At 41.4% G+C, this 12482-nt stretch overlaps 1 protein-coding gene across 5 annotated transcripts in view, besides 1 other annotated feature; it reads left to right on the forward strand.

Moving 5' to 3' along the window:
- Nucleotides 1-12482, forward strand: part of CCNY (cyclin Y) — a 325643-nt gene that overhangs the window by 174606 nt on the left and 138555 nt on the right. The window lies entirely within an intron of this gene.
- Nucleotides 12205-12274: a silencer, noted in NCBI's record as "silent region_2306". NCBI's record gives its function as "represses an Ori minimal core promoter by ATAC-STARR-seq in GM12878 lymphoblastoid cells {active_cell/tissue: GM12878}" and the evidence as "EXISTENCE:reporter gene assay evidence [ECO:0000049][PMID:35858748]".

The raw sequence follows: 12482 nt of genomic DNA on the forward strand, positions 1-12482 counted from the left end.
GGTGCTCTTCTAGCTGGCCCTGCTGACTGGAGTCTGTGATGGACTCCCATTTTCTTGAGCTGAGTCACTTGTTTTCCTCCAGGATGCCGTTCCCTACAGCTCATCCTGCTTGTTTTCACTTACTTTCCTGTTTTCTGCCCTTGCTCTTATATCCAGGCCTGTTAGATCTGAATCTAGTCATTCTGCTTTCTCTTCAGAGGTTTCTCTTGACAGTAAATATAAATACAGTAATTTCTGTGGGCCAGATATGGTTCTCAGTGTTGGGTGAATTTTAATTCAGTCTCCGTAACAATCTTAGGTGGATACTCATCTCCATTTTGCAGAGGGGAAACTGAAGCACAGAGAAAGTCACTGCCCCACAGTCATCAGGGTGCCAAGTGGAGGAGTCAGGGTTGAAGTCAGAAAAGCTGGCTCCTGAGCCTGCACTCTTAAATGCTATTCTATATTCTTTTTAAAACATTTTTTTGACTTATTTTGTATTCTATAAATATTTTTGACTCATTTTTCCATCTAATTTTACACCTTTCTATTCTTTTAAAATTTTTTTAAAATTTAAATTTAAAACCTACAGTCGTCAATAAAACATTATTCTATATTCTTGCTGGCTCGTGGCACCTCAGCTGTCTGGAATCTTCTATGTGGCCTCCTTGATCCCGGGATGAGTTAGCTTTTTCATATGATATTCAGCTACAATTCTATATAGGCAGTTGTGTTTTGAAAAAAGCATTGGACTTAGCATTAGATCCGAGCTCCTGGCTGCAGTGCATGACTGATTGTGTGGCCTTGTCTAAGCTCTGTAACCTCTCTGACCTGCGTTTCCCTGTCTTGTAGTATGAGCTGACTCGTGGGCATTTGAGAAGATTAAATGTGAGTAAGTAGCAAGGTACTTGACACATAAAGGCAATCAGAAAATGGCAGTTATTGTGCTTGTAATTTAAAAAGTTGAAAGCTGTTATAGACTTTCAAGATATGTTGTTTTATGTTTACATTTAGTCAGTTAATTCTGGTTTATAATTGATTAGGCCAAGAAGAGAGGTCTCTTAATCAGCATTCCATTAGAGATTTATTTATTTATATTTGCTTATTTTTTTGTCATTTAAGAGTTAAAGGAATAGAGAGAATTGTGCCATTTAAATGAAATCTTTTTAGCATTAGTTACGTGTTAGGATGTCTGTTTATCCTTCATGATTTTTTTGTTTTATTGCTAAAAAACATGGACTCATTTAATTGTCTAGCTAGTAAAAGGCCTTTATAAAATTTTTCTCTAAGAGCACAATAACATAGTATTTGCTTTTATTTAAGTGCAGTCTTTGTAACTGACTTTACATTTTGTTAGATGGTACTGAATCAACCACAGTTACTGCTTTAGTTAATAGCACTGAAAAATCACTTGATTTGTGAATCTATTTCTAGTGTTTTGTATGCTGAACTCTCCACCTCCCCAGTCTCCTAAAGTAAAATGACTAGTTGTCCTTTGGTGGTGTTTAGTCTGTGTGATGTTTGCCTTTAATTCATTTCCACTTTTTTTTATAGAGTCTTTTTTCATTTATTTAAAAATTTTCGGCCAGGTGTGGTAGCTCACACCTGTAATGTCAACACTTCAGGAGGCCGAGGCAGTTGGATTGCTTGAGCCTAGGTGTTCGAGACCAGGCTGGGCAATGTGGCAAAACCCCGTCTCTACAAAACATGCAAAAATCAGCTGGGCATGGTGACGCGCACCTGTATTCTCAACTACTTGGGAGGCTGAGGTCCGCGGATTACCTGAGCCCAGGGAGGTTGAGGCTACAGTGAATCATGATTATACCAATGCACTCCAGCCTGAGTGACAGAGGGAGACCCTGTCTCAAAAAAAAAAAAAAATTCTGCTGAAAGAGGCTTTTTTTTTTTGGTGGGGTGGGGAGACGTACATTGAGGGTGTTTGTTGTAAGCAGCAGGTTATTTTGGTACACTGTACATTTTATTAAGGGATTTTTCCTCCTGGGTTTGTTGAATGGTGGCGGATGTCTCAGTTTGGTTTCAGTAACTGAATCCTTCAGAGACCCATGCAAAGAAACCTTTTGTCCAAGAAGAACTTTGACCTGCCTCAGTCCTGGGTTGCTGGCTATGACCAGATTAGGTAAGTGATTAAAAATAGCAGAACTCTTTTGTAGACATAATCCTTTGAAAATTCTCAAATTTGCTTATTCCGAACTCCTATAAGCTTACAATTATCCGAAGGTCACTTACTTTTCACCTAATAGAAATTATAAGAAGATAGGGGTTAGAGAAGAGTTTTTCAGATAGTATCTGAGACGATCACCTCAACATGGAAATGAGGAAACTGAGGCTGGGGTTGGGAGAGGTAATTCCCATACCAGTAACAAGGTGGCAGAACAGAGAGAGGGTGAGAGCCTGGCTCTGTGGCCACACTGCCTGGGGCTCTGGGGACTTGACTAAGTTGTGTGGACTCTCGGAGCCTCGTTTCTCATCTGTCAAGAGGGAGAAGTTAGTAATCATAGCTCCTGCAGAGTAGTTATGAGGATTGAATGAGTCAGTATACCTTAGAGCATTCAGACAGCACCCAGCCTAGCATAAGTTCTCAAATGTTTTTTTCTTTTCTTTTCTTTTCTTTTTGAGACGGAGTTTCACTCTTGTTGCCCAGGCTGGAGTGCAATGGCGTGATCTCGGCTCACCGCAACCTCCACCTCCAGGTTTCAAGCGATTCTCCTGCCTCAACCTCCCAAGTAGCTGGGATTACAGGCATGCGCCACCACACCTGGCTAAGTTTATATTTTTAGTAGAGACGGGGTTTCTCCATGTTGGTCAGGCTGGTCTCGAACTGCCGACCTCAGGTGATCTGACCGCCTCGGCCTCCCAAAGTGCTGGGATTACAGGCGTGAGCCACCGCGCCCAGCCGTTATTTTCTAATAATTGTAGTAAACACCCCCCTGCATTTCTGCATTGCCTTGGGGCTTACAGAGTATTTTCTCACTCATCTCATTTGATGCTCACAGAATCAACACAGGGAGGCATGTCTGATACTATTAAGTGCTTGCCAGGGTCTCCCAGCTCTCACATAGCCTGATCAGAGCCTAGTCTTGCAACTCCTAAGTCTAGCTGAGAACCAAGGCGTGTTCCCAAGTGTGCCTGGCCAGGCGCATAAAGATACAAAATCGATGCTTTAAAACTTGTGTACAGTGTGTTCTTTAGAAAGTCCCTGACGCTGTTGCCAAGAACCTGTTTGTGTTAGGGAAATGCCTAATCCACACTGTCCTCCAGCCACACCAGGTTGGGGAGTCTAAGTGAAGATGTAAGGGGTGGCACTGGTTTTAAAAACAAAAACAGAATCATGGTTTCTGCCTCTGAGAACCTGCTCCCACCCCGGTACAATGGCTGCTTCCAAAGAGGTCCTGCTGCTGTGTGCTGTGTTCCCAGGAGTGGCCATGAAGATTCCACTTGTGCTGTGAGCATGTATAGTCATACCTCCTGCATGCACGGGAGACACACACTGTTCCTCTGCCCCAGAAACTGCCAGGCCGATGTTGGAGCCGCTGCCCTCCAAACAAGACTGGTTTCAGGCTTGCAGTTCCCATTTCCCACAGCACTTTGTGATAATAGTTCATTTGACTTACTCTTTGTTGTTTTCTCCTGTTTTGATCAGGAGCCTTGGATAGGCCTGAAGATTATTGCATTGGTATTGTATTAGATTAAAAAATTGGCTCTCGTAAACTGGTACTTCCTGATTGGAAGGCGGCTGTTTAAATTTATTCATGTGCTTTGACCTAGGAATTTCCACTTTACAGAGTTTATCCCAGGAATACTCATACATGTTTGCAAAGGTAGGGATTCATCATAGCATTGTTTATTATAACTCCGTAATAGAATATTAGTTGAGTTATGGTACATTCATAGAGTGGGATGTTATATATGGCTTAAAATGAATTTTGTAAGTGTGAATATGGAAAGGTATCCAAAAATATATAACAAAGAACAGTATGGTAAGAATGCACCAATGTTTGTTTATAGCATATGTAGTGTGGGAACTCCAAGGGAGAAATGAATGATTTAATCTGGAAAAATGTGTTGTAATAGTTGGGAGCACGAGTGTACCTTGTGGAGGGAATGTAACCTTGCTATGGAGGACTTTCTGCTTTCTAACTTTTACATCTGTGTAAATCTGTATAAATGTTTAGTTAGATGTATTGCTTTTGCAATCAGAAAAACTACAAACTAAACAACAAAAACTTACCCTTGTTAGTGACTCATCCAGTGCCCTTAGTGACCAACTCTGACCCCAATTCTCTTCTAGGAGGGCAGTCTCTCCATCTTTATGCTGCTCAGAGGCTTCAGGAGAGGACTGCAGCTTCCTTTTCACCCTGGGGGAGACTCTGAATCCTGGCCATAGCCAGCAGCACCAAGGAGCCCACTCAGTCTTCTGCCATCTGGGTTCCTGTCCAAATTAAACCCTGGCTCCTCTTCTCCCTTCACTGGTCCAGCACGCGCACACACACACACACACACACACACACACACACACACACACACACACAGATGTGCGTGTGCTCTCATTCACACACAGGCACATGACCCATTCTCACAACCCATTCACAAGCATACATGCCCATTCACACACACACACACACAAACACACAAACACACACACACTGGCATTTAGGTCTTTGCTCTCAAACCTTCTCTGCAAACATGCTGTGTTGTCCAGTTTTCCAGCTGTCAGCAGGTTATTAAGAAGGCCTGATAGTGAAGAAGGAGACAGAAAAACTACAGAAACATAAGCTGAGACCCCAGAAAACACCACAGTTCAAACTCTGTTTAGTGTTGGTGCACATAGTTCACTGCAGGCAGTAGCCACTGCATTGCATCAATACCGTCCATGGGGTTTAGGACAATGACTTTGGGTGGCCATCAAGAAGAAGCAAAATACTGCTTAAAATGCTGTGTTTAGGAAGGCAGGATTGTGTGTAATACGTTTTTAGAATGTTATTAAAATTGCTTTGACAGTGTGATACATTAAATTGTCAGTTATCTGGAAATTCTCTGATGCTGAACCAGTGATGACTTTAAAGCCAATATCTATATTCCTGAGACCCTTTGTCCAAAACATAAAACATTAACTTGAGGCCAGAAGTCTTTCAGAAACCCTTCCCCACTGTTGCAGTATTCTGAATTAGCAAATCTGCATAGGCCAACACTGACTGAAAGGACCTCTTGGTTTTGTTCTGAGGAAGGAGTGAAATTTCCACAGCCTGCATATCACAATAGGCCTTGTGGTTCATTCATTGTTATTAGATTGAATTATAATGAGAAGAAGCCTTTGTGCCTCTGGGCTCCCTGTCTTGGTCCACAGGGTTGGAACCACAGTATCAGAAACAATTTCTAAGACACATTAGTACACTTTTTAAAAGTATATTTGTGTCTTATACAGAGGAGAACTGAAATCCTTTTAATATTTGGGGGCTTTAAAGTAGTAATTAAATGCCACAGACCCTGTCACGAATTTATTAATGATCTTTGAAAAATCTACCATGTCAGCTGCAGCACCAGCTGCCCCTGGGGTGCTTGGATAGAGTGAGTTTTGTCAGTCGAGCGTTGTTGGTAGCTGGATGGATTGAGGCAGGAGAATGTTGGAGTGAAGAACTGGGCAGGTGTTAGAGATAATGCCACCTGGCTGGGCATAGCGCCCATGGAATCCATCCCCTGAGTAGCTTTACAGTCTGTCCTGCCTGAGTCCATCCCACTCCTGTGGAAGCACCCAGATGTCACGGTTTTTTAAAACTTCCTAGGTGAGTCTAATATGCAGCCAGGTTGAGTGGTGGCTGTGCCACCTCCCGGCTTGTGACCTTGGGCACTTAAGTTACACATCCCCTCTAACCCTCTGTTTTGTCGAAGCCTTGTGGTAAGAATTAACTGAAAGAATGCATGTGACACCTAAGTGCTCCATAAATATGAATGAATATGTGTGTATTTCAATGTGATAATATTTATTAAGATACACACATACATATGTTACATATATAGAAGGAAAATTTGCTGTGACCCACAGGGTCATATGTGTAAATAAATAACGTAGGTCACAAGGAAGTTGAAACCAGCTTCAGAGATTTTCCAAAACAAAGTACAATGTCTGTGGGAGCCTATCAGAGTTCTTGGTAAAGCAGAGTGAAGTTAAACCTTCCCTGCAGGAAAGAGCAGCAAAACAAGTGCTGACAGTTGCCAGCAGTTGAGAGGATCCTAGCCCCTCAAGTTCTGTTCTGGATCTAGCCCCACCTGGGCCTGGTGGTGGCTCTTGGTGGGTGCCACTTAGTCAGGACATCCAACTCCTCCCCTTCCTTCTGTTAAGTACCAGCTATTACCTAGTGGTGAAGATGAAGGAAAGTAAATTGGACCGACTATCTTTATAGACTCATTGTTTCCTATACATATGTATGTACATTGTCAGATTTATGCTGTCCTTTCATTCATTTAATGGATATTCATTATGTATTTACTGCATAGCAGGCATTGAGTTAAAATGTGGAACAAAGCAGATGCTGTCACTGCTCTTGTGTTCTTTACAGTCTAATGGGAGAGATGGGCATTCACAACCGAGATCAAGCCACCCCAATGAGTGGCAGGTATGTTCCTTGATTGCCTAAAACAGAGAGAACCTGATCCCGACTGGGGCTCCAGGAAGATTTTGCTGAAGACACTGTGATTGAGCTGAGACCTGAAGGGTGGTTGGGTGTATAGTGGTGGTAGGGGGTGTTCTGGAGTAGAAGGAAGGCCTGTGTGTTGTTGCCATCCAGGAACTGCAGGAAAGCCAGTCTGGCTGGAATGAGAGAGCGTGCACATGTGTGTGTGCGTGATGAGGGTGAGCCCTGAGAGGTAGGCAGGAGCAGATTAAACATGGCTGTGTAGGCTATATTAATAATTTTGGTATTTTTACTTAGAGGAGTGAGAAGCCATTGAAGGGGTTTAAGCAAGGGGTAAGGGTGAAGGCAGAGAGAGAGAGAGAGAATGGGGTAGACAGACAGAGCTGGCAGGCTCCTCCAGAGAGTGGATCAGAATGACTGAGACTGGATATGTGGGGAGGAGTTGTGGTCTAGGTGGAAGATGGTGGAAGTGAAGAGAAGTGATGTGTTTGAGAGAGATTTAGGTGGTGGCATTGACAGGACATGGTTTAGAGATGTGTTGGGTGCTGCGTTCTGGTTTGTGCAATGGGATGATGGTTGCATGCACTGCAGGAACAGTGGAGGAAGACCAAGTTGGGAAAGTACCCTGAACCCACTCTAGGGCAGCAAGCCTTTGGGCCCCTTACTTAGGGCAAGGCACAAGTATTCTTTTTTAACCTAAACAATTTGAGGAACAAGCACATTATATTTAGTTGTAATAATTTTTCCTGTTATATTTGTTTTGGTTGGGGATTTTAAAAATTCGTTTTGCTCAAAAATAATGTGTTTCTAGTCACCTTCTACCAGAATCTTACCAGGTCCTAGCAGTCTAACCAGGCTGGGTAGTGAAGTGTATTCTTTGACTTTGTGATTTTCTTCATATTCTTGTATTTCAATCAAAGCAACATATTGAAACAGATTGAACGCTGAAGCAGACAGGGGAACCTAGTTGTTTTCTCTTAAGCCAGACATTTGGTTTTCAAAAATGTAAAACAGCATCATCTCACCAGTTTTTGTTTTGAGAAAGTTATTTTTGTAGAAATAGGTTTTATTATAACATAAATGAACTTACTATTGTTATCTTAAAATGAATAAAGAAATATCATTAAAATTTCTCAGTTTTAATTTCCAATTTCATAAATACCAAAAGATAGAACCCATATAAACCATAGCTTTTTGGGGTCTTCAATAATTTTGAGTTATAAAGGAGTCCTGAGACAAAAGAGTTTGAAAATATTTGACATGTGTCATCCTAGGGTTTGTGATAGTAGGCAAATTATTTAAACTCTTAACCTCAGTTTACGTATCTGTAAAACAGGGAGAAAATGGGGTTGCTGTGAAAATGGAGTATGCAGGTAATGTACTGTAACGTCCCTAGTTCAGTTGCTGGTATGTAGTAACTGGTAAATTGGTAGCTGCATTTGTGGTTGCTGTTATTGGGTCATTTCATCTACATTGCAAACTCTTCTAGGTATGTGGCCATGTATTATAAAAGAAATTTCTGTTGTTGCTACAACAGGTGTTTAATAAAAGCCTTTTAAACAAGTGAATTGCAAAATTTCTAGGGAGTATGATTTTCTGAAATAATCCTTGATTATTCAGCCGCTAACCTTGAATATTTGACTTACAGTTCAGTAGTGACTGGCTCTGTTAGTAGCAGATTTAGCATGAAATGAAAGAACAGCTTTGGAACATAGAAGACTTTGCATGTCCCATTTGTTCTGTTCCTAAGTCCCTCCTTATCTCAGTTTCATCATTACAAAAAAAAAGTGATGAGATGCCGGGCGCGGTGGCTCACGCCTGTAATCCCAGCACTTTGGGAGGCCGAGGCGGGCGGATCACGAGGTCAGGAGATCGAGACCATCCCGGCTAAAACGGTGAAACCCCGTCTCTACTAAAAATACAAAAAATTAGCCGGGCGTAGTGGCGGGCGCCTGTAGTCCCAGCTACTTGGGAGGCTGAGGCAGGAGAATGGCGTGAACCCGGGAGGCGGAGCTTGCAGTGAGCCGAGATCCCGCCACTGCACTCCAGCCTGGGCGACAGAGCGAGACTCCGTCTCAAAAAAAAAAAAAAAAAAAAAAAAAGTGATGAGATGTTGAAATCCTGCCATAGAGTTTCACATTCGTCCATAGTTAATTTCATGGTAATTTTTTTTAAAGACACAGGTGAAGGGAAGAGTGGGAAAGGAAAGAGGGAGAATGTGATCATCGTGTGACTGAAAATCAGGTTATCAAATGGATAAATTAGGAGGTACCATTTGAATTTCACAGGCATCTTTCACTTTAGAAATAGATTAACCACATAATAACAACTGTAGTGTAGAGTATTAACTACTTAACAAAAGAGGATTGAGGGTGGAAGTTTAACTGTTATTTCAATGTCCATTGGAATTGAGGATAATGGTTATTTGAAATTTAACAGAATTTAATAAGAAAAAGATTTCTTTGCTCATGTGTATCACTAGCATAACTATGTAGGTGGGCATAATTTTATGTGGTAGGGATATTTCAAAAAATGTTACGTATATAGAATTTTTAAAAAAATTTAATACGGCTTGGCGTGGTGGCTCATGCCTGTAATCCCAGCACTTTGGGAGGCCGATCACGATCCGCGGGTGGATCACAAGGTCAAGAGATCGAGACCATCCTGGCCAACATGGTGAAACCCCATCTCTACTAAAAATACAAAAATTAGCTGGGCCTGGTGGTGTGCTGCTGTAGTCCCAGCTACTCAGGAGGCTGAGGTAGGAGAATCGCTTGAACCTGAGAGACGGAGGTTGCAGTGAGCCGGGATTGTGCCACTGCACTCCAGGCTGGTGACAGAATGAGACTCCATCTCAAAAAAAAAAAAAAATTAATACTTACATTAATCTTTGGTCATAAACCTTTCTGGTGAATATGTTTATAAACTAAGCCTGCTAATTTCAGAGAAGCATAATTTAAATTACTCCATTACTGTTCTTTAAATGTTTTCCACCCATGCTTGATCTTGGAAGTGAAATTGCTCACACTTGGAAGCATCCTTCACTCCTCCCCTCCTCCTCTCCTCCCATCTTCCCCTCCTCCCCCCACATCTTCCCCCCCTCCCCCTCCCCCTCCCCCTTCCCCTCCCCTCCCCTCCCCTCCTCTCTCTCTCTCTCTCTCTCTCTCTCTCTCTCTCTCTCTCTCTCTCTCTCTCTCTCACACTCACTCATCCCCCTCCTCACACCACTCTGTGTGTGGTGGTGGGGGAGAGAGAGAGAAACATTTCTTGAGGTTGTAGCACAGTCTGTCATTGCTCTAACCTTTGAATTCTGTCTGATCTGTCCGTCAAATGCTTTGGAAATGAATGCTGTATTTTTAACTTCGTTTTCATTGACTGAACTGTCATTCTTTAGAGTTTTGATACGTGTTCTTCCTGCAGAATCCAGTAAAGCCATGCTCGTTTTGTTGGGGAAAAAGAAGCACCCTAAGCATCGGGTCCCAGGCTCAGGCTTGGAGCCTCATAGGCTACGTTAGACCTCGGTTCCACCACTCACAGGGTGTGGCCTTCTTAGGTTGGTTACTTAGCCTCCTAGTTTTTTGTTGTTTTTTTCTCCTAGCCTCTAAACCACCAGAGATTAGCCTCCTATTGTGATCCTCTGTTTTTACATCTGTAAAATAAAGACATCATGGATTTGTTGGTATGGAAGTTTATAAGGTATTCAGTTCTGTGTCTGAGAAAAATTATGGTTCATTTTCTCTTGTCAAGGAGTGGCACCAGCAAAGATAAGGAGGTCATATTATGGAGCGAATGTCAGTGCGAGAATCATCTTGCATATCAGTAACTTAAATAGTTGATTCATGTGGCGTATTTTTATTAGTATAAGCTAACCCAGATTGTCTAAGTGTAGGGGAAGGATCATTAGATTTGAATTGTAAGTGCTGTGTTGGAATCTTGGCTCCGTGACTTGCTGTTCTGCTTTGGGAAGGTGTTTTAATTTCTCTCCACTTCAGTGTCTTGATTTGTAAAATGAGAATAATGATAGCTACCTCTTAATGTGGTTAAGATGACTGTTGAGATGATTAAATGAGATTATACCAAAGAACCTAAGAGTGCTGATACTCAGTAAGCACTAATAAATGGGGATTCTCTAGATTTTGTAAGTAAATGACCAATATTTCTGTCAAACTGCTTACCTTTGACTGAAACTTTGAACTTTAGTGAGACCTTCATATAATTTTCATGACACTTGACTTAATAACTGAACATACTGTGCTATGCTTTGGGTATAAGAGTATGATACTTTTGTGTATTTTGTAATATTTAAGTACTTCTTCCTAATAAGCTGTTGGGTAGAGCATATATATCTGTCCACCAGCCATCTTATTGAGAGAGACAATCTGTTCCTTCCACTGAAAGCTTAGGATCACAAGCTGAAATTTCCTTAATATGAAAACAAAAACAAGTTCACATTTTGGGTTTCATAAATTTAATTATGGTTAACTTTGGAAATTAAAATGTTTTCTGAAAAGTAACTTTTCTGTTCTCCCTAGGAAAAATCCATTATTAGAATGTAAGAGACAAAACAAATCTTTTAATTATACAGCAAAGGTGCCCCAGGGCTCAGTGTGTTCCTTTGCTGTCTTTTTTGCCAGCATCTTATTTGATCCTTAATGTGTCTGGAATGTGGTTAAGAATACTAAAAAATATTTTGAACTAGACTAACGTGCCATTAGCATTACCACCTTGGTTTTACCAGCTGAGTGAGCATTCAGATTCTTGATGTGCATATGAGGTTAACATCTCTTTAAGATACTGCCTGTAGGCTGGGCACGGTGGCTCATACCTGTAATCCCAGCACTTTGGGAGGCTGAGGTGGGAAGATCCCTTGAACCCAGGAGTTAAAGACCAGCCTGGGCAACATAGTGAGATCCCTGTCTCTACAAAAAATAATAAAAAAGATACTACCTGTAAACTAAGGTGGGGTTTTTCATTGATTATCTCCCTCCTCCTATTGTAAAACGTTTTGAATGAAATAAAATACATTTTTCCTTTGTACTCTCTTCTCAGCTTTTAAATTTACTTTTTTCAAGTCCTAGAATGTTTTTCAGCCTTATTTTTATTTATCTAATAAAACCTCTATTTTGGGGTTTCTTTTCATACCTTCAGTACCATAAGAAGATTTCAGGGTAGTTATTTGACAGGTTCTTGTCAAATAGTATAACACAACAGTCATCAAAGAAAAGGTGTGGAAAATAATGTTCAGTGTTCCAAAGTAGAAAAATTAGATATGTTAGTTATTGTAAATAAAAAGATAAAAACATGGATTTTCTAGTGTATGATACATGTATTAGTCTTGGTTCTACCATCTTAAGAAATAGTGGTTTTTTGAGATGAAGTTTCACTCTTGTCACCCAGGCTGGAGTACAGTGGTGCGATCTCGGCTTACTGCATTCTCCGCCTCCTGGGTTCAAGCAGTTCTCCTGCCTCAGCCTCCCCAGTATCTGGGACCACAGGCACGTGCCACCATGCCTAATTTTTTGTATTTTTAGTAGAGATAGAGTTTCACCATGTTGGCCAGGCTGGTCTCGAACTCCTGACCTCAGGTGATCCTTCTGCCTTGGCCTCCTCAAAGTGCTAGGATTACAGGCGTGAGCCACTGCACCTGGCTAAGAAATAGTTGTTTCTGAAAGTGATGCATGTTACCACAGGAATTTGACTAGTAGTGGCAGTATTTCCTTGTATGCGAACTTAAGTGCTACAAATCTCATCAGTCATATTTACACACTTGTGAGTGACAGGGAAGGGGAGCAAGAGCCTGCCTGTGAATTGTCTTTGCTGGAAAATAATCTTCTATTAATTTATTCTCTTTAG

This window comes from Homo sapiens, chromosome 10 (genome assembly GCF_000001405.40).
Source record: "Homo sapiens chromosome 10, GRCh38.p14 Primary Assembly".
Classification (NCBI taxonomy): Eukaryota; Metazoa; Chordata; class Mammalia; order Primates; family Hominidae; genus Homo; species Homo sapiens.